General features: G+C 36.7%; 1 long non-coding RNA gene across 2 annotated transcripts in view, besides 1 other annotated feature; it reads left to right on the forward strand.

The window, feature by feature from the left end:
• Positions 1 to 16,014, forward strand: part of LOC107986620 (uncharacterized) — a 175,866-nt gene extending 159,852 nt beyond the window's left edge. The window contains exons 3-4 of one of the 2 annotated variants that reach the window (XR_001744236.1): positions 7,110 to 7,346; positions 15,961 to 16,014. This is a non-coding gene — a long non-coding RNA (uncharacterized LOC107986620). Of the gene's footprint in view, positions 1 to 7,109; positions 12,686 to 15,960 lie in introns of those variants that run through there. The other variant, XR_001744235.2, reaches the window with a different exon arrangement.
• Positions 24,489 to 24,997: an enhancer, noted in NCBI's record as "NANOG hESC enhancer chr6:85246850-85247358 (GRCh37/hg19 assembly coordinates)". NCBI's record gives its function as "activates a minimal SCP1, AML or CMV promoter by ChIP-STARR-seq in primed H9 embryonic stem cells {active_cell/tissue: H9 hESC(primed)}" and the evidence as "EXISTENCE:reporter gene assay evidence [ECO:0000049][PMID:30033119]".

Below are 26,583 nucleotides of genomic sequence, written 5' to 3' on the forward strand. Positions count from 1 at the left end.
GTCAGCACACACTACATTTTTCATAGTAGTAATTTTACTTTTACCTTACGAAGTACTTCACTGCCTTGCTATTTGGGTAGGACCAAAAAGATACTTTCTTAAAGACCAAAGTGCAGATAGCAGTATGGTAATTTCACCAATAAATCATTATTATTTTGACAGCATGTTTCACCTTTAAGTTCTCCATGAAGATTATCTCCACCTTTCAAAAGGATCATTTCAAAAAATGTGTTAAAAGGAGCACACAGACAAGGCCCGATGTCAAGAGAGGGGCAGGAGTGGGAAGCCCACTGTGATTCCTGCCTTCAGAATGGAGAAGCAGGATTTTGAGACAAAATCATGTTACCACGTATCTTACTCTTCTTGGAATTGTCTCACAATATTTTTTTTCTTTTTTTTTTTTTTGAGACAGAAACTCTGTCACTCTGTCACCCAGGCTACAGTGCAGTAGTATGATCACAGCCAACTGCAGCCTGGACTTCCCGGACTCAAGTGATCCTTCTGCCTCAGCCTTATAAAAGATGCCCAAGGTAGCTCCACCACCCCTTCTGCCATGTAAGGACGCAGTGAAAAGATGTCATCTATGGGGAAGCAGGCCTTCACTAGACATGGACTCTGCTGGAGCTCTGATCTTGCGCTTCTCAGCCTCCAGAACTATGAGAAATAAATTCCTGTTGTCTATAAGCCACCCAGTTTGTGATATTTTGTTAGAGCAGCCCAAATGAACTAAGACTGATTCCTAATAATTGTCAAGTGTGGGCCTTCGGAGCCAAGCTGCCTGAGTTCAAGTAGCTAGTACTACAGGTGTGTGCCACCATGCCTGGCTAATTTTTTAAATTTTTAATAGAGACAGGGTCTTGCTATGTTGCCCAGGCTGGTCTCGAACTCTAGTGCTCAAGCTGTTCTCCCCTCTCAGCTTCCTGAAATGCTGGGATTACAGGCATGAGCCACAGCATCCCACCTGTCTCACAATACATTTTTTTAAATTTTATTTTTTTATATTTTTAAATTTTATTTTTCCATAAGTTATTGGGGTACAGGTGGTATTTGATTACATGAGTAAGTTTTTTAGTGGAGATTTGAGAGAACCTGGTGCACTCATCACCCAAGCAGTATACACTGCAACATATTTGTTTTCTTTTATCCCTTGCCCCCTCCCACGCTTCCCCTCCCAAGTCCCTAAAGTCCATTGTATCATTTTTATGCCTTTGCACCCTCATAGCTTAGCTCCCACATATCAGGGAGAACATATGATGTTTGGTTTTCCATTCCTGAGTTACTTCACTTAGAATAATAGTCTGTAATCTTTTCTAAGTCATTGCCAATGCTGTTAATTCATTCCTTCTTATGGCTGAATAGTATTCTATCACATATATATGTATATGTGTGTGTGTATATATACACACACCAGAGTTTCTTTATTCACTCGTTGATTAATGGGGATTTGGGTTGGTTCCACAATTTTGCTATTGTGATTTGTGCTGCTATAAATATGCATGTGCAAGTATCTTTTTTGAATAATGACTTCTTTTGCTCTGGGTAGATACCCAGTAGTGGGATTGATGGATCAAATGATAGTTTTACTTTTAGTTCTTTAAGTAATATCCACACTGTTTTACATAGTGGCTGTACTAGTGGTGGGAATGTAAACTGTCTCACAATATTCTTAATGTCCAAAGAAAACATTTGGATATTTTTAAAAGTCCTCAGTTCAGCAAAACATGTTCATTGTTTCAACTTCCAGAAATCATTAATGGTTCCCTTCTATGTGTGAAGCTCTTTTCTAGGCTCAGTGAGGAATATAGAAGAGCTATAAAATATAATCCCAGCGCTGAAGGGGACTGAGAAAATAGAAACTAGTGGTTCTGAGCACTGAGTATATATGCCAGGCATTATGCATTTGTCATTTGAGTCACATTACAATTTTGAGAAGTAGGTGCTATTACTGTCTCATATTACAGATGAAAACCCTGAAACTTAAAGAGTTTAAGAGCCTAAGTAAATGAAAGAGCTAGGATTCAAACTCAAGTAAGCTGACTCCAGAGCTCACTCTTTCCTTCATTTTACAAAAATGTGATGAGAAATTAACTTATGAGTTTGCGGTTTGATGGACCGAACAGCCAGTGACAAATACTGCCCAGAGCCAGCCGAACAGGCATTTTTTCTCATTTGGGTATTCATGGATACACAGCAATCTCATACTATTTTGAGAAATACGCAAAAAGGGTCCTGCACCAAAGACTTTTAGTGCTACAGAGAGAATAAATGTGCCCCCTCCACACTAACATAGCACTTCTGCTCATTAATATGAGCTGCAGAATAGGTGGGTTTTACAGAGAAAATAGCCTAAGATCAACTTTCCAGGTTAATATCAAAATGTATTCTTATCCAGAGCTTGCTGTGTTTATAAAGTCATGTAGGCATCTTGAATATTTTTAGACAGTATTACTTCACTTTATTATGTTCAAAATCAAAGAGAGTGTCCAGTTTTTCTATTTCTATTTATAGTAGCTCTGCTAGCAAATGTTAAACTTCTTTCCCAGACATATAAATTTGGATTTTTCAAAGAATTCGTGTAGGAAAATATTTGCGCTCTTACTCATGAAGGATGGAAGTATGCCTCGGTGGTTTTTTTTTTTTTAGAAAGTCAGTATATTACATCAGGAGGCATTATGTGCATAATACAACGGTCCTGACAGCCTGCTGGTCAATCAGCAGAAGTAGGCACTAGTGGGTACTTAAGGCAATCTACCGAGATTTTTGAGGATGATCTTCTGTTTTCCCGGTTCAAAAAGCACAGGTCTATCACAGATGAGGCACATCTTATTCTAATGAACCATTAAAACCACAGGATCCACACCACTGCCCACTTCTGCAGCATTTTGCAGATCATGGTCTGGGGTAACTTGGTTTAGAATTGCCCAAGGAGCCTGTAAAAATGCAGATTCCTGTGATTTTGCATGACTTCTGAGGCCAGCCTTTGGAATTCATGTTTTAAACAAGGATCTCAAGGGACCACATTTTGAGAAATGCTGGTCTCAATATTAGCACTCTGAACTTTAAGAAGATTAGAAGCTAGTGTGTCTTCAGTGCGTACATTTTGAGAAATTACGAAAAATTTCATCAGTGTTTTCTAAAGCAATTTATGCAGAATAACAACCAGAAGAGATTATCTGTAATAAACAATTTCCATGGTCAGATAAGTTTGGGAAAGCTCCATCTAATATACTTCTTGTTAGAAATCCTTAATTTGCATATTAAAGGCTCTGAGAAATACTGCAGGAAAGAAACCTACTTCTCAAATAGATTTCAGCATAGGAATTTGTTTTGGGGATGAGATTTACTAATTTTCTGTGGAACTAGTACTCTGCAGGCCTCATTTGGGAAATTCTGATTGCAAGCCAATGGTAGACTTTCTAAGGGAGATGAACAAGGTTTAGAGACCCAGAGTCCCAGCTTTAATCCCCAATACTTAGGAATCTTTATAGAAAGGTGAAAAAGCTTGTAGTTTAATAATGACACCTAATATTTGTGTGGCTTTTGTAATTTTGTAGGCCCCCTTTCACACTTTTCACTTTAAAAATAAAATCCTGACTCGATTCCTGTGAGCCATACAGATGAAGCTTATTATTATCTCTATATGAGTGAATAAACAAACTCTTACGACAAGTGAATAAACAAACCCAGAGAGATTGCCTTGGTATGTCATGCATTTCTACATCTTGTGCATTATTCATCACATAATACATCCAAGCTTTAGATGACCTGGAAGCTCAGATTCCAGCAATATCTCAGCTTATGAGATTTTTGCTAAATTTACTAATAATGTATTATCTCCTTTATGGGAATAATGATTATACTGATTGGCCACTGGTAGAAAGAGCTGTGAATTACTTTTCCAAAGGTGTTGATGAATTGACTTAAACTCAGGTACCTCGATGATATAGTTTGGATATTTGTCCTCACCTAAATCTCATGTTGAATTGTAATCCCCAACATTGGAGGTGGGGCCTGGTGGGAAGTGACCAGACTGTGGGGAGAATTTCTCAAGAATGGTTTAGCACCATCCCCTTGGTGCTGTTCTCATGACAGTGAGTGAGTTCTTGTGTGATCTGGTCATTCAAAAGTGTATGGCACCTCCCTGCCACACTCTCTCTTTCTTGCTACCTCTTTCACCATATGAGGTGCTTGGTCCCCCTTTGCCTTCTGCTGTAATTGTGGGCTTCTTGAGGCCTCCGTGGAAGCTGATGCCAGAGTTATGTTTCCTGTATAGTCTGCAGAACCATGCACCACATAAACCTCTTTTCTTTAAAAATTACCTAGTCTCTGGTATTATTTCTTATAGCAGTGCAAGAATGGCCTAATACACTCTGCTTCATCTGTCCTGCACCCAGTGGGGTCCAGTGGCTTAGTTATTACACATAGCCATGGCTGGGGGTGAATTTGTATCTGAGGAATTATTTTTGTCTATGTAACTTTATTTGACCCTTTAAAGAAATGAATTCATACAAGTGTTCCTACACTATGCCTTGATCCTATTAGTTAACATATTCCACTAATATAATCCTTTAGCTAATACAACCTGTGGCCTTTTAGAGTTATTATCCTAGTACTTCGGTCTTACTTTTTAAAATTTTTATGACTTTTTTTTCCCCTACACTTTTCCACAGCCTGACTTCTCTAAAGCTCATTCTAATTTATCTTACTCCCAAGACTCATGGACTTTCCTTCACTAGCATGGCTGCCACAAACATATTTAGATTAATATCTAAATTATAAGACTAAATATTTAACTACATCTGTAACAAACTATTTTAAATAGTGAGCACACATCTGAGTGTACCTGGGAAAGCTTTCTGACTCTTCAACATCCTTAATAATGTGGCTAAATGTCACATTCCTACATTTAATGTATCTTCCCCTGTCCTCTCTCACCCATCACCTGCCATTCAATTCTGATGTTTGTGTCAAATTTGAGTTATGACTATAGGTAGGTGTTACTTTCAGGAATTATTTAACAAATTTCCCCTAAGTTTTAGTGTCTATGCTTTTTTCAATGTAAAAAAATTTACTAAGTTGTACATAACAACTCCTTTTCTTCTAGGTTAAACTGAGACTTATTTTCTTAGGCTTTTAACCACAAAAATATAGACCTCTCTAGAAACACTTCATTTCCAGCCCTAACTTTGTAATCTGTTTTGTTATAACTGATCCAGAGAAAATAAAAATGCCTCATGTTTGAAGTCTACGCTATTCAAGGGTAAACTATGTCTCACTTTGAGTCATTTTATATGTTCATTATATCTAGAAAAACAATTTGAATAATAAAAGTGCCAAATGTTAACTCAAGCTATAAACATACAATGGCATATTTACATCATATATCAAACTTTTCTAGATTTCTTTTCTTAATGCTTCTCATCCTGCACTAAAATCCTTAACTCATTTGTTTCTTGATTTATGAGATAGATTAATTATTTTTGATTAATAAAAATTAGAACCTTTAATTGGACTCTATTTGAGTTTGGTTGCATTAAATGAATCTACTGGTGATCAAAAATATATTTTTAAAGGGAGTTTAGGGTAATATATCAACAAATGAGGAGCTATAAACATGATTAATATACACATTAGACTTTCCTTATCACATTTTGCTGGCAGTTTTTATCCGGTCACAGCTGAAATTCCATTGAGTTCTTTCTCCTTTTGTATAAAATACAGATTATGTGGAGACAGCAGTCTGAGCAACTGGAGTTTCATCTTGTCTGCCCATTAATTATTAATGCTGTTTCAGTATGTCTTATCTATCACTGCTGAGAGATGAAGGGCTGTATTTTTATAGTCATTTTCTAGTAAGAAAACAGGCTGGATGGTGACTTTGCACTTGGCAATAGGGAAAGGATCAAAAGTACTTCCATTTTTATGAAAACATTAAAAAAGACTGTTCTAACTCACTAATTTTACTCTTTCAATGAGGGGTGGTGTGATTTTTGATGAGTAAACCAAAGCTGAGGAAAGCACATATCTCTTTTTACAACTTTTTCAAAATACCATGAACTCAAAGGATTGAATTCAGGACACTCTGAATATTGGAGATTATACATGGCACAAGTTGTATTGATACATCCATATGAGTAGAATTTAGCTTATGTCTCAATTGCTTGATAATGGATTTAATCTTCCTTTTAGGGTACAATGTTATGATTTAGAGCCCGGGCTATAATGGAACGCACACTAGCCAGGTGACCTTGTGCAAGGGACTTGCTGTGCTAAGTATCAATTCACTCATCTATAGAATGCATGAGGACACTTATTTCACAGGGTGGTAAAAAGGTTAATTAAAATATAGCATTTAAACAGGGTCCAAACCATGGTAGTAAGCCCTGACATTTGGGTTCTTTTGTCTGTTTTTTTTACTAAAATCAGTAAAATGTGCTACTCTAACTTTCAACAGGAAATAAAATAAAAACAAAAAATGTTGATTCAAAGAGTGTTTCAACAATTTACACTTAATTTAAGCTGGGGGCTTGGAGAGTGTGAAGTGGACAATAAGTTAAATTTTAAGACTAGAGTTTTCATCTATTCTAATGAATAATAGAAAAGCAGATCTGACTTATTAAGTAGATAAAATTTGGTATATCAAGACATTTTTCTGTGATTACTTGATGACCTTAAGTAGATTGCCTTAAATTTTCTTCCATGTTCAATTTCTCCTATATTAAATGTATTGGGGAAACACTTATTAGTGAATGTGTGGAAAATCTCAGAGCACAGAACACTCACACACACACACACACACACACGTGGATTTCTCTGAACATTTACATTTACAATAACAGTATTTTCCCAATTACAGTAAGTGTGGCAGAGACAACTAACTGCCCCCAGGATCCATTTGTCTGTTCATCTCTTTAGTTAGAGAAAACCTACCTTCAAATTTAAATGAGGCTCATGCCCACCCAGCCTTTCCAGGCCCTTTTTATAGCCATGTGTGACCAGGTGACTCATTTCTTGACATTTAAATGGGAGCGCAAGTGGTGTACATAACTTCTGGCCATGTCCTTGGAAAGAAAGCTGCTTACCTCCATTTCTTTTCTCCCTTCCCACAGGCTGGATTTAGGATAGTGACCCTACTTCAACCATATAAGCAAGGTTATAATCCTAGGAATTTGCAAACAGAAGGAGCCACACAGAAGGAACCTACATCCCTGGATGACACTGAAGACAAGAGGCATTTACCTGCCTACTCCATGGACTGTAAAGTGGAAAAAATGACCTATAGTTTTTGAGCCATTCCATTTATGTTTTTGTCTTTATTTTGTTTGCAGCAACTTACTTGGATCCAGGTAATCACATCCAACCTAGGGGTAGGGCCCTTGCTGTGAATGACTAATCAATATTTATAACTTCAAAGACTTGACCTGCTTTAAGGTGCAAATAGCTCTGGTCAATTTTGGTGACTTGTATCGGAAGGCAGTTAATCAGGTAAACAAAAGATAGTTTTCAAAGAAAATTTTCTTCAGGAGGAAAATGTTACGGCATTATTTATCCTTTATCTTTTATTGGTTGGGGAACAAATAGATGAAGGAAGAAAAACTGAGGGCTGTACAAATAGAAACTGCTTGCTGATGCTGTCCTGGCTTCTGTGGTAAGAATGTCTTTTAGAGACCCTGGGACAAAAAGCAACACTGAAAAATCTAAGATGTGTGGCAATTCTTTGATATCAAAAATCATTGAATGGTTCTTTTCTAAATTCCTAACTCCCTGTTTTGCAGACATCACTTCCTGATGACTCTAATTATTTTGTTGTATCACAGTGATGTTTTGCCAGCCAGTAGAAACACAGTATTAGTCCACATAGTAGTATTAAAAAAACTTTAAGCTAGGATAAGAACTACGTGTCTTTGAGCTGTCTACACTGAACCTGGTATGTGACATGTTATGATAATAATAATGGTAATGCTAATAATAGTAATGATATTACAGGAATAACAAAAGAGTCCTTTCATCTCAAAAGCATGGGTCTAACTTACTCTCTGTGTCTCAAAAGTTTAACATCATTTTTCTAGTCCGGTAATAGATTGGTTTTGCACCAGGGTAATAGTTCCTCTTAGTTCCCTCTATAATGTGCAGTTGGGAGACACTTGACACTTCCCCCAGCCAGGGGGATCATATGAAACTGGCCTGCATTTAGTTTTAGCAGAAAAAAAAATCTAAATAATGGAACTAATCATTCAAACTGTAAAAAGTACATATGCAGAATTACTAGTATTTACTTGATTTTCCTGCCAACCTTCATTATGTTACTTCATAAGAAGATAAGAAAAGGAATATCATTTGTACCTAGATCATTGGATGCACAGTAATGCTTAGTTACCAATTCATGACTTTGTGAAAAATATTCCCAAAGGACAGCATACTCTTCCTATGTAACACCACTGAACAAATCACTGCCACATGTGTCCTTTGGTGTATCTGTGGCCTGAGAATTATTTAAGGGCCAAATTTATATCCTATTCTTTAACTACCAAGTGATCTTCCTTCCCTAATTAAACAGATACTCAGAGCAACAACTCACAAATGATGTTCTTAAATGACACTAAAAGTCTCAGGCAAGATCTCATTGAACTGTTGCTGAATCCTTGGTTACAGAGTTTTTTCTTTATAACATCTGAATTAGTTTCATGGCTGAAACTATAATTGGCCTCTCAAATGTGGTAGTGAGAGATCTGGCTTAGTGACAGAAAGACCAAAATCAGTAAATGAGGGAAAATAACAACCTAGAGAATAATGACTGAAAGAAGAACATTAATACTAAATAATGAAGAAGAATGTAAACAGATAAGAGACTCAGAAAGCCCTAGATCTTTAAAAGGCTGAAAGAGGGAGGGCAAAGATAAAAAATGATAAGACCTGTCAAGAAGAACAAAGTCAATGTGTGTACATTATTCAGTTTAAGGAATTAGAGTCACAAGGTCAAGTGTGGGTAACAGTAAATATGAATGATGAGGAATAAAATAAGTAAAAAGCAAGCTAGTTTCATAAATCAATTCCACAGCAACTTAGCTGGGGGGAGGTGAAAGGAGAATGGAGGATAACCCATTGGAGCCTGTTGAAATGTCAAGATCTATTACCAATTACTAAATATCAACGTGTTCATGCAAAATCCCAGTGTTCAGGGTCATAAAACAGTGCATTCCATGGACCAGTGGGGATTATCTAATTTGCACTTTGAAGTGCACTTAAACAAAACAAGAGAAAACATGGGCATTTGTAGCAAGAGGAAAACATACATTAGAAGATAAGTAGAATGAAAGAACATATAAGCCCCCATCTCAGCCTATTATCCCAGGATGGTCTCTGAGCCCACCTTGGAGGGGACCCCATTTCTGCTTCTTTGGCTGTACAATGCCAAGGAAGAAGCTGCTATAAAAGACAAGCAAAGGGGGAGGTCTGGAATGAAGATTTGGGCAAGAGTCCATACGCCAAGGTTAAGGGCCAGAACTTCTGCTCTTTGCACTCTCCCACTGGGAGCTGTACAGGCAGGAGAAACAGGGATGGGCCCCTTGGGGAAGAAGGGGACACTAGAGTTGGCCACTAACAACAGATTAAAGCCCAATGTAAACAGTGTGCTGGACACATGTGGGTTGTAGAGAGAGTGGTGATGAATAAGCCTGTATCCAGGCAAGGACTTCAAACAGGAGGAGGCTGAGCAATGATGAAAATGATTCAGTGCCCTCAGAAATGACTCATGAGAGGAACAGAATGTGAAGAAAACAAAGAAGAAATGTCCACATTTATCAAGCACTTGACAAATGATGGGGGATGCACAATTAGGGAGAGCAAATCATTGGAACAGAGTAAAGACAAGAAGGGAGGCCATAGGCAGTCTGAAAAGAAGAAATCCAGGGATGCAAGGGCAGCAGTATCATAGAGTGGATTAATCCGCTCTCACTGAATTATGGTCAACACAAATTAATCTTGCAGTCCAATTGATTTAACACTGAACTGGACTGTAAAATTCAGGGAATGCTGATTCTGTTTGACTAGCATTGGTCTCTACCTATTTTGTGAACATCTCCATTCTCAGGCTCTTTCTCCCTTTAGGTAGGGCTGATCTCCAGCAGGTCTGCTCTGGTAGAGCCTAATCAGGTATATGCCGATGCCATACCTGACTGGGTAATGTTTATATAATACTTGTTGCTACATGTTTTCGTTATCATTTCTACCTTCAAGTATTCAGATAACATTCTGAACCCATTTGAACTAAACTTTTTTAAATGACCTAATTGATACCTGTGTTTTGGACTAACTATTCTAATCTGTTATCTTTCTCTCTCTCTCTCTTTTTTTTTTTTGGTATTGCCCAATCTTTCTAAATCACTCCTTGTACTATGTCTTCCATGTCTCTGAGTGACTAGAGAGACCAGAGCTTGTAACTGAACATGGCACATGAATAAGGGGGAAAAATCCAAAACAGGCATTGGTTGTGTTGTTACTGAGGCTTCAGGATGGGTTTGTTACTGCACTGCATAACCTAGCTTATACTGATTGATACATTCACTTTAAGCTAACGTTGTATAATGTGTATTATAAGTCTGGACCTACAGCCTTCAGTTTTATTCACAAAGAACTATCCATAGAATTAGTACCATATATGATTCTGTATGCATATTATAGATAAACCCTAGATCAGATAATAGAGTTTCCCCAATTGTGCATTTAATAATTAAATGAATGTTTGTGGACTAAATGAATGAATGAATGAAAATGACAATAAAATGGTACCAGGAATCTCTGAAATCTAGCAAAATTATTTATAGAATCCTCCCAGCATTTTGTAATTGGAAGGGACTCTAAACACAGCTACTCCAGTCTCCCATGACATCCCTTCCATGGGTGTATCCAACCTCCCCAAATATTTCCAGTGTCAAGGAGCTCACCACCTTATAGGATAGCCTTGTTTTGCATGTGGTGAGTTCTGACCCTAACACACATGTGTTTAACTCCTGTAATCTTTGTCTCCACTTAAATGGAATCCCCTGAGAGAATTAACGAATATTTTGTGTTGAGTTTTATACTCAATGGTGTAGCCAGTTTCCTTTCTTTAGCAACCCAGGGTCCCACACTGAGGCATGATTGGTCTCTCTCAGCACTGTGGTTCCCCATTAGAACTTCCACTTCTCACCTTCTCCAGCCTCTAGTCAAATACACATGTCTGGAGTTATATTTGAAATAACTGTAATAAACGATCTGAACACTTTAACATAGGCTTCTTGGGGAAATGTCTAACCGAGGGAAGTTTTTACTGATATGGACCTACATACCTTAACAGGTAAGAGAGAAAGATACTCGGGGCCAGACAGACCCTGTTTGGAGCTCTAATCTTACTATGCAGGCAGCTCTGTGTTGTACATTTGTATAGAGTTTGTTTTCTTTATCTTACTTTGTCCTGACCTTTCACTAGGTGGAAGATTAGAGCATTTTACTCCCTTGCTTAGCTCCAAATTCTCAGGCATTTATTTTTGAATGTATTTAAACCTCTAGCTAGAGCTTTCAAAAAGTTCTTTCTCCCTATTAAATATTAAGACCATAAAACAGAAAATGAGTTTTCTTAGATTTGAGAAGTGCACAATTGGTACATCTTAAAACAGCGCGTGCGTGCATGTGCACGTGTGTGATGGGGGTTGTGTGTTTTCTGTGAGCAACAGTTGTAATGGAGGTTCAGTGGGAAGAGTCTGAGCATTGGAGTCACAAGGCCCAAGGTTTGAATCCTAGCATATGAACCTTTGAGGAAGTCACTACTTTGAGTTTCGGTTTCTTCATCTGTAAAGTGGGTCTAATGATATCACATTCTAGGATGGTTTTGAAACTCAAATATTCCTGGCACAAGAGGAGCACAAAGTCAATATTTATTTCCTCTTTCTATCCAAGAGGAACTTTTGTGGGAAAACTTTCTCATTATAAATCGCTAATTTTCTTTAAAAATAGATCTTCATTGTTCAATGAAGCTAAGAAGAAGAGTAAACACATACTTAGCCCGAGATAAGTATATAACACATATGCAGATCTGGAAAGGGCTTTCTGTCAAAAACCATCCTAAATTAGCGTGGTTAAGCCCTTGTGTTGTTAACAAGTAGAATGGTGACTATGCCTGTTCCATGCACTTTGACACTACACTGCCCTGGTTTGACTCACAAGCATGACTCGACTTTGACTTAGGTATCTGATTGACTTTTGGAGGCAGGTCAGATTCATTTCAGCATCACCCTTGAAACACTTTGCAGCCAGCTGAGTTCATTCCATGTGACCCTGAAAGCCACTGAAGTCACTGTAGCAGCCCCTGGGATCATCCTTTATCAAGAGATTTGTATTCCAACGGGCAATTGTGGATTATCAGGCCAGTTCTATTGTAGACTTATTCCCTTTCCACCTACCTTTACTTATGCTGTTTATCTTACCTCTAAAATACACTTTTATCTTGACTTAACAGGAATAACCTTTTAAAAGCCTGTCTGAGATTTCTTTACCTCATTATAGACATGGCCATCTTCAAAATTACTCTTCTAGCCTGCAGATCTGTCTGCAGAAATTGGGTTGGGTTTGTGAGTTGATGTTCCATTTATTTGTGTCACTTCCTATTTTTTATTAGTCTTGTTTTCTTAAATTCTGTACATTGGATAGTCCAGGAGGTAAAGGACCATTTATTTGATGCTTCTATAAGTTTCCTTGATGTTGAACACTATATATACACACATATACATATATATATAATGTATATATGTAGTACATACACACATATACATATATATAATGTATATATGTAGTACATACACACATATACATATATAATGTATATATGTAGTACATACACACACATATATATACAACATACGATATAAACAATAAGATTAATTTGCTGACTGATTCATATAGAATTATTTGCCAATTTCTTGTCTTCATTTAAAATCCTACCCAGGATTCCTTCATTTGTTCATTAATTAGTTAATTCATCCATTTGTTTATTCAATAAATAATTGTTATGCCCATTTAGTCCTAAGCAGTGATCTAGACCCTTGGGGCAACATAAAGTGAATACTATAAATTCTTACCTCCAGAGGGTACAGTCTTGTTGGGAGAAGTGAACAATTGTGATAAGTAATACAAGGACCATGGCGGCATAAAGGGGCTAGTCATTAATGTGTAAAAAGGTCAGAGAAAAAGTCATAAAGAAGGTAGCACTAAGGAAGGGTCCTCATTTATGAATGTGAATTTTTCATACAAGCAATATCAGGGGGTTGCACTTCAGGCAGAGAGAACAAAATATGCAGTAATAAAGTGTGTTCAACCATGGAGCACAGGAGCCAAGTAACAGTGGTGGGAAATAAGATTAGTGAGGTAGGCAGGGCCAGAACCATGAAGAATCCTGGAAGCCACACAGAGCAGCTGGGACTGACTGTTTTAAACAGAAGCACGTTATCAATGACTTGAGTAAGAGAGACAGCACTTGCTCTCCTCTTACTGGGTCACCTTTTGATCACTTGCATCATCAGCTGAATTAAACTTGTTCCAATATTAAGTTTGACGCTTGTGCACTGGCTGGGCAATCTACATGTTTTTCCTTTCCAGAGGAAAACTGTCTAATAGCTGGCCTGATGATAGCCTTTCAGGGGAACAGTCAGCATTGGAATAGGAAATTCTGTTTTACATGTTCATTGTTTAAATCCCTCCACTAGACCCACAAGCTGCTGCAAGAGAGAAAGATCTTGTCTGTTTTGTTTACCCTTGTATCCCAGCATCTAGATTGGTGCTGGCTCACAAAAGAAACTAATATTTGTTGAGTAAATGAATGAATAATAACAGATCATTTAAAAATGAGACAAAAACGTATAGACTGTAGGGAGAAATAGGTGAATCTACTGTTACAATTGGAGACTTTAACACCCTCCATTAAAAATGAACAGATCCAGCAGGCAGAAAATCAATAAGACACAGTTGAACTCAACGGCACCACCAATCAACAAGATATAATTGACAGCCATAGGCTACTTCATCCAACAAAAGCAGATTACATATTCTTCTCAAGCTCACATGAAACATTTCCCAAGATAGACCACATCCTAAGCTATAAACTACACCTTAACAAATTTAAAAGAATAGAAGTCATACAATGTCAGCTCTCAGACTACAACGGAATTACACCAGAAACCACTAACAGGAAGTAAATGAATGAGTTCAGGAGTAGACCTGAGTCAAGATCAGATAATTTTGGAGAAGTACCTTTTTTTATCAAGCAGGAATTTGGGGTTGTTTGCTAGAAATGTCTTTGAATTACAGTTTCTCTTGAACAGGTAGCAAATCTGGTTTTGGTACTTTTTCAACACCCTGTTTAATTGCCAAATATAGGGTAGTTGGCAGTTTCTCATCTGTCTATAGGCCCTGTCTATGGGGAGTAAAAGAGGAAAGTCCCCAAGGAAGTTGGCCTTGGTATCTACTTCAACTATATTTCTTCTTCCCATACCTCCATTGATGGTCAAACTGGTGCTATGAGAGCAATTAAACTTAAGTGGCTGTTTCTGCCTCATTTTTCCCTGACACAAATATTTGTTCTTTTGTTATTTACCTTTTGTCCAAATGAACATTTTTAATTTCTTCAGATAATGCAAATAGAGTCACTAGGTCCAAGACTGTAAGCCACAGAGGTTTCTCTCACCATAACTACTTTTAGAAGTAGTTAAGTAGACGTGATAACAAAATTGTAAAGATTGTTAAAAATATTTGAGTCAGATTGTAGTCGGAACTGCTAAACTGCTAACTGAACAGCTCGTCAGGAGTGAGAAGTGGGGGAAACAGAATAAATCCAGGTATTAGAAGTCTTCATTGCCAGATGTCCCCTTTGTGACATGGAATAACTTTGAGTTACAAGAAAAGAATCTCTGCGAGCCTGGCTGTGGTTGTCCAAAACTTACCTGAATTATTATTCCTTTTGCTTCTTCCTCACTCTGTCCCATACCCTATCCCACCCCCAGATGCCTGACTTTTCTGACCCCACTCTTGCCTCCCCAGTCTTTGTTTTTTATCTTTTCCCATTGTTGATTAACCTCAACTTCTTAAACCTCGTTTATGCCAACTTGGTCCCCAAATACCTATTTAGTCATCCAATGAATATTTGCCAATCCAGATTAGTCATTTCTTAAATTTGTCTACAAATTCTGTTCAATATCTGGTATAGTGGCACTCTATAAACCTGAAAACAAACAAATGAAACACATAAAACCCCACAAATGCTTTGTATTATTGATTATAAAATTGATATAAGTTGATTATATCTGATGGGCTTTTGACTAGTCTTACAGAGGGTGCTGACAGAGGGCCTGGCAGGAACGAGGGAAAGAGGTAATAATCAAAATCAGCCACATCATCTGAGAGTCCCTGATAGACTGCTGTTTGTTAATCTGAAGGCAATTAATCTAGATTCCCCATTCTCTTTTCTCTCTGAACCATTTGACTCACCTTACTTTATACACATATTTTTATTCTAAGATTACTTTGTCAAAAGATAGATACCCATGACTTCCTATTTGAATACTAATCTATTCTTAGTAACCTTGACATTAACAAAGATACTCTGAAGATTTTGCCATACTTGCTAGAATACTCTTAGCTTATCTTAATATAATACCAACCTGTAAAATTGCCAATATATACCCCTTGATTTGTCATTTCAAAAGTGAGCAAATGTTTTGCTTCACCACCTGTTGCTGTCAATCAAAGTCAGAGTTTTGAAAGAAGCATGATTGGCATAAAAATGCAGCCCATGACAAGATTTTATCTTTAGAACAAGTTTACCCTTCTGCAAGAATTTACAACTGTGTGTGTTTTTAGTACCTTATTCTAATCAATTAAAGTAACCATTAAATAAAATTTTTCTTTCCATGCCATTATTCTTCCACATTATAGAAAATATGGAGTTTACAAAGAAGAAGGGAGAGGAGGGGAAGGATGAAAAGGAGAAGACCATGATACGAATTTTTGATAATCCTACCACCGGGGAAACAATTGTTAACATTTGACTCATTACATTTCCGACATTTTCTTTATACATTTTCCCAAGCTCTGCCTCCCTATTAAATCAGATGTTCACTTTCCTGAGTGTCTTTGCGTATGGTTTTGTCTTATATTTTTCAGGAAGGCCTGAGAGTATGTGATGTAGCTCCTCTCTCCTTTCTACCCCGAACAGCTATGTATTAATATAGTGTTTTCATATGCATCACTCCTCAAAGCCCTATAGCAGACTGACCTTCCACCTGTGGCAACAGTCCCATCCCTTGTGCTAGCTTTACTACCCTTTATCACCAGAGAAAGTGAGTGACAGCACCCTCTTTTTGCATCTTCTACCCCTAAACACTCTAATTTCCCTCTTTATAAAAGCACATCCTCACCCTAAAAACCAAACACACAAAAACAAAACAAGAGGAAGTATCCTTCGGGCTCCTCTTTCAAGTGGCTAATACTTCTAGGTCTTTCCACCACCCCTGCTTCCATACTTCTCAATTACTTCTAGCAATTAGCTTCTACCATCACCCCTCTATGAGAAGTGTGTGTTCAAAAGATTCCAGTGATCTTTTCTCATCATCTTTTTCCTCCCACATAAGCACCTTTTCAATGCTTTTTCTGCCTTGGGCTTCAAAGTGCCTGTATTCTCTTGACTCTTCAAATTATCTGAACTTTCCTTTTGTTGTCATTTTAGCATTCCTCTACTCATTCCTGCTCTCTGGTTGAATTCGTTTCCAAAAGTTTTGCATCTGCTGTATTCTCTCTATAAAAGTTTTTTTTGGTGAATTATATTTAATTACAATTCTTCTTTTCTCAGAAAGCAATGACCTCTCAAGTCTGTTTCTCCAGTTCTTGCCTCTCTTTTAAGTTCTTCTGTAAATCATAGAACATGATACACTTCTGCATGTATAGCAACTAACTTGTCAGTTGTCTAGATTTATCCTTCTTGTGAGTTTTTATACTCCTTGTTACCTTTACTATTAGTACTGCTAACACCCTACCATTTACTAAGTAATTGATTTATGCTATCAGATGCCTTATAAACATTATTTCAATTATTCCTTGCAAAGTATGTAGTAAGAATTACCTCATTTTATACACAGGAAAACAGAAGTTCAGTTAGTTCAGAAAACTTGTCCAAAATCACAACTAGTAGTAGAGCTGGGATTTCCATGTAGCTCTATCTGGGTTTAGAGTCTGGTTCAGTTGTCTATTGCTGCACGACAAGCTACCTGAAAACTTGGTGGCTTAAAAAAATGATTTGTATGGAACTTCTAGAATGGCAGAATAAAGAGCTTAGAATGATAGTTATAAAAATAATCATTTAAAGCATCTGGAAATTATTCCAAGGGCATATAGCAAATGGAGAAATCTTTATTAAAGAAACTCTACTAAAGCTCAGTAGGAATAATGAGAGTCTGTGACATTTGAGCCATGACCTGTTTTCTTACCCCTCCCCAGTTCTTTTTTCTCCAAACTCTATCCCAGGGACTCTACTCCATACAGAAGTTACCAAAAATACAGGGGCTCCCTCTCTGTATCCTCACTTCCAGTTTGAGGTAGTTTTCACCCTGATAAGGGTGAGCTGCTGGTGTTTCTCATATGCCAACCCAGCCCTATATTGCAGACACTCTAGTCCAGTCAAATGCACCCAAGAAGATGGACTCTCCTCTCCCCTATCCAGTGATCACTTGTAAGGCAGAAGCTCTACTCCATGTACAGCAAATCAAAAATACTAGGGCTCAAAATTGCTTCCAGCCCAGTTTGCATATAAGATTCCATGCCAAGGAAGGATGAGCCAAGAAGACAAAGGTCTGCCAGTGGCCACTTGTTCAGTGAGAGGGCCACTGTGGGAAAAGAAGATATTTACCACCAGCTTTAGTATAGTGGTACAGGAGTTCTGCCCAGAGGAAAAGAAAGGCTATATGGACAAAGATTCCTACAGTTCTGCCAAAAGGAATGACTTTTATTTAGAACAGAGCATGGAGAACTCCATGCCTAAGGGCAATGTCAAAAACAACAGAGATTTTGGTGGTGAGCAAATAAGAGGAGGCTGTTAGTTTCTTGATAAAATCAAAATGTCAGAGCACCATAAAATTTAAAGAGAGGACCAGAGAATTTGAGTGACAGTAATGAAGAGCCCTTGTGGGTTCACATTCTAGTATGAGGCTTGGGAAGACTTTGTGCGTGTGATAGGGTGCACTCTCACAGGACCAATCCAGCAGGATGTAGTACACATTTTAAAACATTCCCCAGCCTCCACACAGACCCATTCACACAGGGTGGAAGCCTCATGGTGTGAGGGGCTTAAACACAACTTCTGATTGAACACAGATCAAACAATAAACTACTGTGATATGACATGACTAATAAAAAGTCAGATTTTTTTTAAATCACAGTAATTTCTGGCACTTTGGAAGAATGTATGTATGCTCATGACTGCACATTCTCAAAAATTCTAAGGAAGAAAATGTTCAAGCTACTAATCTCTGGCTGAATAGGGAAAAATATATAAACTCCCTGAACTTTAATAGCAGCCTCCAAGCCATACACATACATAGTGGTAAAGGGTAAAATTCTAATTCGCTGAGGGGCGTAAGCATAATCACTTAACAATAAGTGGCTTATGCCAACTCAGGGGCAATCTCTAAGTAGCCAAGATAAAAGATAAAAATAAAAGAAAGAAAAGATCAGGAAAATAATAGGCTGCACAGAATTAGTTCAGCTAAGTTTTTAAACAAATAACCAAAATGACCAAGTGAATAATAATGACCCTGGTGGGGATGGGGAGACTCAGTATCCAGATTTATATCCAGTTTTCAATAAAAATTATGAGACATTCAAAGATGTAGTAAAGTGTCACCCATACTCAGGGAAAATAAACAACAGGTAATAGAAAGTACTCTTAAGGGGCCCTAGATAGTGAACTTAGAAGACGAAGACTTCAAAGCAGCTGTTATAAATATGTTTGAAGAAACAAACAAGATCTTGATTAAAGAGCAAAAGGAAGGTATGATGATGTCTCATAAATAGAGAATAGCAATAAAAAGATAGAAATTATAAAAAGAACAAAATGAAAATTCTTGAGTTGAAAAGTAAAATAAAGTGAGTAATTTACTAGTGGGGCCTAACAACAGATTTGAGCTGGCAGAAGAAAGAATCAGCAAACTTAAAGGTAAGTCAACAGAGATTATGGAAGCTGAAACTGAGAGAAAAAAATGAATGAAAACAATGAACAGAACTCAGAAAATTGTGGAGCAACATTAAGCACACAAACATACATTTAATAGGAGTACCAGAAACAGAGAGAGAGAAAGGGATAGAAACATTATTTAAAGGAATAATGGCTGAAAACTTCCAAAATTTGATGAAAAACACTGGTCTATACAACCAAGAAGATAAATGAACTCTTAACAAGTTAAAAGCAAAGAGATCCACACACAGAAAAATCATAACAAAAATGTTTAAAATCAAAGATAAAAATAACATCTTAAAAGTAGCAAGAGAAAAACAATGCTTCACATATCAGAGAATGTCAGTGAGAATAAGAGCTGACTTCTCAATGAAAGCAACGCAGGCCAGAGGAAGTGAAATGACATATTCTAAGCATTGAAAGAAAAAGAATGCCAACTAAACATCTTATATAAAGCAAAAGGCCTTTAAAATAGAACAGTGAAATAAAAATATTCAAAGTTAAACAATACTAAGATAATTCATTGCTAGCAGACTTCCCTTACAAGAAATACTTACAGATGTTATTCAGGCTGAAAGCAAGTGACACCAGGCAGTAATATACACCTATATGAAAAAACAAAGAGTGCTAATAAAAGTAATTATGTATGTAATTGTGAGAGACAACATAACTGCATATTTCATGTCTTCTTTTAACTGATTTAAATCATAATTGCATTAAACAATATGCATATAATTTTATTGTTGGGCCAATAACATATAGAAATGTAATATACTTGACAATAACAACACAAAGGAGGCAGGTGGGAGCAAAGCTGTGTTGGAGCAAAGAAATGGTATTAGATGGTAACCAAAATCCACAGAAAGAAACAAAGAGAACCAGAAAGGGCAAATAAAAGTTAATATAGCAGACTTTCTAAATACATACTTGTTCTTTCTGTCAGCTGCTTTAAAAGATGTAAGATTATATAAAGTAATAACTATATCAACATATTGCTGAGTTTATAAAATGTAAACATAATAGGTATAAGAATGAATAGCTTAGAAAATGGAGGAGGAGGGAACATAGCTATATGAGAGTAAAGTTTCTATATTTCACTAGAACTAAGGCAGTATAAATCTGAAGCAGACTCTGATGAGCTAAGCTATATATTGTAAGCTGTAGTTCAAAATTTAAAACTTTTGTGCTTCTAACGAAACCATCTAGAGAATGAAAAGGTAATCCATGGAATAGAAGAAAATATTTTCAAATTATATTTCTGATAAGAAACTTGTATTCAGACTATATAAAGAACTTTTACAACTCAACAATACAGAAACAAATAGTCCAGCTGAAAAAAATGGGGAAAGTATCTGAATACATAATTCTTCAAAGAAAATATACAAATGGCTAATAAACATTGAGTAGATGCTCAATGTCAGTAGCCATTAGAAAAATGCAATTTGAAACCAAAATTAGATACCACTTCACACTCACTAAGTTTACTATAATCAAAAGAACAAGTAAAAAAAATTGTTAACAAGGATATGGAGAAATTAGTACACTCATACATTGATGGGGGGAATATAAAATGGTAAAGCTACTTTAAGAAACTGGCATTTTTTCAAAATGTTAAACATAAAGTTACCATATGATCCAACAATTCTACTCCTGGATATATACTCAAAATAAATTAAAATATTTGTCATGCAAAATTTTGTACATGAATGTTCATAGAAGTATTTTTTATAATAGTAGAAAGGTGGAAACAATAAAAATGTCCATCAACTAATGAATGGCTAAATAAATTGTGGTCTATCTGTAGAATAGAGTATTATTAAGTATTAAAATAAAAGAAGTACTTATACTTGCTTCAACAAAAATGGATCTCAAGAACATAATATGCCAAGCATTTTGGCTGACACATATAATCCCAGGGCTTTGGGAGGCTGAGGCAGGAGGATCACTTGAGGTCATTAGCTGAGCATGGTGGCACACACATATTGGCCTAGCTACTCAAGAAATTGAGGCAAGAGATTTTCTTGAGCCCAGGAGTTTGAGGCTTCAGTGAGCTATGATCGCAACACTGCACTCCAACCTGAGTGGCAGAGCAAGACTCTGTCTCAAAAAAAAAAAAAAAAAATTAAAACATTATGCTAAGTGATAGAAACCAGTCATAAATAACTAAATGTTACATAATTATTTTAAATTATATGTCCAGAATCTATTCAGAGTATATGTAGGTTAGTGGTTGCCAAGGGCTGGGGGATGGATAAAAATGGGGAGTGAGTGCTAATGTGCATGGAGTTTCTTTTTTGGAGAATAAAATTGTTGTTTTAAAATTAGATCGTGCTGATGGGTACATAACTCTGTGAATGTAATGGTTTACTAAAAACCATTTAATTATATATTTAGATGGGTGAATTGTGTGGTATGTAAAATATACCTCAATAAGCTATTTTAAAATGATTTGTCATTGTATAAGATTCTGTATGTTGGCTGGGTTCAGCTGAGTTTTTCTTCGGCTCCACACAGCATCAACTGCAGTTCTTTATGTAGCTGCAGCCATGTGGGTGCTCAGGTTGGATTGGAGCATACAAGATGGCCATACACTGACTGACTGAAAGGGGTCCTGGTTGTTGGCCTAGCATCTCAGTTCTCCCCCACTTGACCTCTCTCCTTCCAGTAGCCTAGATCAGCTCCTCACAGAGTAGTGACTGGGTCCCAAAAGAGTGACTGTGGAAGCTTCCAGGCAGGTGCCCTTGAAGAGGCAGAGCATCACTCCTGCTATTTTCTAGTGCTCAAAACAAGTCCAACTGAAATTCAAGGGGAAGTGGAATAGATTTCATGTCTTGATGGGAGTAGCAGGATGTGTTTAAGAGATGGGAAGAACTGTTGGTGACCATCTTTGAGACAATCTCTCACAGAGCTCTTAACCACTCAGCAGCAACATGTGAAATCTATCAATGAAGATAGATAGACATCTTAGTGAATGCCAATATCAATAGATAACATTCCTAACTCAAAGGATTCTTATTCTGATAATTTTCTCAGCAATTTTGCAGCTAGACATCAGGTATCTAGGAAAAATTCTACTGCTCTGCAATCACATTAAGACATGGACATTTCTGTGAGCTGGTCTAAGACCTTTCCTAGGATCTTTCTATATTACTTGGGAAAGGAACTCTGTGCTATAGGATCTCAAACACTTATCAGAGAATAATATCATCTCACATTGACAGAGGGAAGGGAGACACTCAAAAAGGGAGAAGGGGATAGTTGAGAAACCTCTGGTCCTTTGATATGAAACCATCAATCTCCTTTAGACTATCTGTAGTTAACACTGTGGTGCATCTCCCCAGATTCTCTCTTATTTCAGGGCATGCGTCATTTTCCCAGGTGCTGAGAATGTTGACTGCAGATGGTTCGCAGCTGCATTCCTCTCAAAGAATTTCCTCAGTTGAAGGTAACTCCCTCACTTTTCTTGCCACCCTGTCTCATGGTATTGAATCCCCCTCACTTGATGGTAGAATAAAGGAAGAGAAGAGCAAGGAGTTCAGAATGACTGAAGGGATGTGTCAGTAGCTTGAGCCATGACAAGCAGCTGAAGTATTATCCTCTAAGTCATTGAAAGCCACTGAGTGATTTTAAGCAGGGAAGTGGCAGTACCACACCCACCTTGTTGAAGGACCCTTATGGAGATGGTGTGGCATATGAACTGAGAGTAATGGTGGAGATAAAAGTGGGAGCAGCCAGAGTGAAAATGAATACCTAACCTACAACATTACCTATGAGGTAGATAGAAATATATGATTCAAATAGCATTTCTGAACCAAAATGTAGAGGATTTAATAATCAATTGAATGGGCTGCAGAAAGTGGATAAATAGCAGATGATCTTGGACAGTGGTGTGCTGGTAAATTTTTAACTGGTTCTCTGGAAAAAAAATACATGTATGCCTACATATATGTCATTACGTAAGTTTATTATAAATTTTACTGATTTAAAGTGTGTGTACTATATGATTTATAAATAATGAAAATGCAATATTTTCATTAGAAATTCCATAGCCAATTGATTCTCACAGAATGCTTTTATTAATTTTTGCTGAGCTCCTGTTCTGTGGCCAACCTGTGATTGCAATTCAACCATGATTTGACAAATGAAGTTGCATCCTAATCTTTACCCAATAAAATTATTTTCATTAAATCTGACAGAAAGCGTATTGTCAAACTATTCTGTCTTCCATAAAAATTACTATTCATTAAATTGAAACATCTTTTCACTTCATCACTAGCCATTACTCACTTTTAGTGTAACTTGATTTATTAACTCATTCTCCATATCACTTTCTTAAGCCTAAAAAATGAACAAAACAAACATCAAGCCCAGATTTGTAGCATAGCCAATTTTCATGGTGGAAATGCTCCCACTATGACTGATTTAAAGCTGCCCTTGTTATGCTGTTAAACAGAATTGTGAAGAAATGTACACTAAAGCCCCATTAGATAATATTCCCAGCATCCTGGTATGATATAAATTCAAGATCATAGAAAAAAGTAAAATCATTAGGAAATGGTAATTTTTAATGGTTTACTACCTTTGATTTTAATATAATTTATAAAGTTAAAATTTTATATAAGTTTTAATAATGACTGTGTTTAACAATTGGTTTGAAAAATCCTGCATTTAAAAATGGGCTTTTGTGAGATTGTGTGAGCTAGCTCCAGCACACCACTGTTCCCAGGTGCTCTGGATTTGACACCTGAAAAATTAAGGATGAGAGATGTACACCTTGGATTAGATTTAAAACAACATCAGAAAAGCAGTTAATTTTTTAAAAATATGTGTAGTAGTATTGGATTCAGGTCATTTATCAGTACCAACAGCAACAAAAACTATTGGCTTAAACAGGATAGTCCCTCTCTCAGGTAAGAGAATCCAGAGGGAGGCTGTCCAGGCTGCTATAGTGTAATACCTACATGGTAACAAAGGCCTAGATTCCTTTCATCTTTATGTTTTACCACTTCATGGTCCAAGATGGCTGCCTGAGCTCCAGTTTGCATATCTACTTTGCAGTCAGCAGAAAGGAGAAAATAGGTGAAGAAAAGGCAATTCCCTTCATTTAAGACACTTTTAGGAGTTAGCAGAAATACTTCCATTTAAATATCATTGGCCAAAGCAGAGTCACATGGCACTTCTAGATCATGGAATATTAGAGAATCCAGTTTAACTAGATGGCAACGCCATCTATGTGTCAAGGTCCATACTTCTCAGGATAAACAAATGAATATTGGGAAGCTACTTGCAGTCTCTATGTCAAAGTCTTAGGTGCAAGTCATCATTTTTTTCATCTCAGTTCATCAATGGGAAAAAAAACCCAGAATTTATGTTAAAATAGCCAAAACTTTCAGAGAAAAACATTTTAGTAACTAGTGTGTCCTGCTCTCATCCAGCCTGGTCTGCTATCATTCTACCTGGCATGGGCTGTGCCCCAAATAGACTGGAGACATTTTCTCCTCATTATCACCTTGTTAAGCTGCGTGTCTCAACCCCCTGCCTCTGAGGCATGTTCTGGGATCTTAACGAGGTGATAATGAGGAGAAAAATGATGTGGCAGTCCTTGGTCTGGTCTAGTCTTCATAGTTCAGAAGAGACCAGAGCTTTAATTAAGAATACTTGCTTTAATATAAAACTTTCAGATGTATATTTTGAGATCTCTGGATATAAGTAAACAAAGGGAAATGTGCGTTTCTATTAAAAGGTGTATTTGCGCGATGTCTTTTTCCTGTTACTCCGACAAAAAGAGGTACATTCTTTGAAAGAAATGAAGAATTACAAGAAAGTGTACAGAATCTGGTAGGTAAGGGTAAGGAAAATGGGAGGAGAAACAGACTTGAAGAAAAAGAAGTCCAGTTACACATCTTACACATAGAACATTCAGTTTTTTCCTGCATTTTCATCTGACCATTTGGTGTTCTGTTGACACACTCTCAATAAAAAAGTGTTTGTTTTACATGTTTGGCCCAATAGTGTCACTTCAACTTATTTTATAAACCAGATAATTCATTAAAAATGTAAAGGGTTTACATATTATTTGAGGAGCATACTTCTCAGTGATTAATTTTCAGGACTTGCTGTAGTTCTTTAAAATGTGACTTTGGATTATTAGCTAAATACGATGGATAAAAATCACTCCAAACATTTTTTATCACTAAAACGTATTGAGTTTGCCACAGATGGTTTTATAGCACTGCAAGTGCTATTATAGAGCATCCATCTGCATCTCAACATTGCTGCACATTAGAATCAGCTTCAGAACTTTAAAAAACAATACCAAGTCCTGGCCCTTTAAAAATAGGCCTTGATTTTATTGATTGGAAGTGGGGCCTGGACATCAGTATTTCTTAAGCTTCTTATGTGATTCTAATACACAAGTAAGGCTAAGAACAACTAATCTTTCTAGTCTCAGCCGCTCATCGTTCAGAGAGGAAAGTGAAATCCTGAGAAACGAAATGCTTTACCCAAGGTTAGCCATCTAATTAGTAGTCATCTGAGACTAGAATCCAGTCTCCTCATTTAAGTGTTCAGAAAAATACTTAGGGAATCAAAAGTAATTGGTAGTGTTCTTCTGTATCCAAATTTTATCATTTACTGTTTTTTCTTGTTATTTAATCTGCTAAAAGTCATGTTACAAGTAAGACAATGAATAGTACAAATACATGGTTATGTGGTTTAAAGTACCCAATATTCTGTTCTTTCTCCATCAATTTGGAATTCCTTTTAAGATATTCTGATTTTTCAAGAGAAGATCTGCCAAGTCTTGACTTTAGAAACCCTGTTATTTAATAAACCTCTTTGTAAATGATTCCAAAAACCCAAGAAAATAAGTGAAAAATAAATAATAAGTGAAATAATCATAATACCTGAAAACAGTGAAATAAGTGGAAATATCAAAACAGTCTAAGTAGAAGGTAGGTATATCTTCCTTGAAACTTATAAAAATCTAGTTTGATTCATGTTACCATAGTTTCTTGTTTTTATTCTTATTTTCTGCTTGTACTTCTGAATTAAAAGTGACCCTGTTTAGTCAAGCAGCTTGTATAATGCCTAAAAATGATTTTAAAATCAACCTACTTCAACAACATTAAAGATAGGTACTGACCACTTCTGCTTGATGGGGAAATATATCAATAAATGCCTGCATTGAAATGGTCTTTCTTTTCAAGAGGTCAAAACACTTTTCTAACATTTAGGTGTTCTCAGTTTATCTCAATGAGATAATTTTAAATGAAAGAAATGATTGCTGCCATGTTACCCACAGTGACACTGAACACTGCTCTGCACGTAAAGCA

The sequence above is a fragment of the Homo sapiens genome, chromosome 6 (assembly GCF_000001405.40).
Source record: "Homo sapiens chromosome 6, GRCh38.p14 Primary Assembly".
In the NCBI taxonomy this organism is placed as follows: Eukaryota; Metazoa; Chordata; class Mammalia; order Primates; family Hominidae; genus Homo; species Homo sapiens.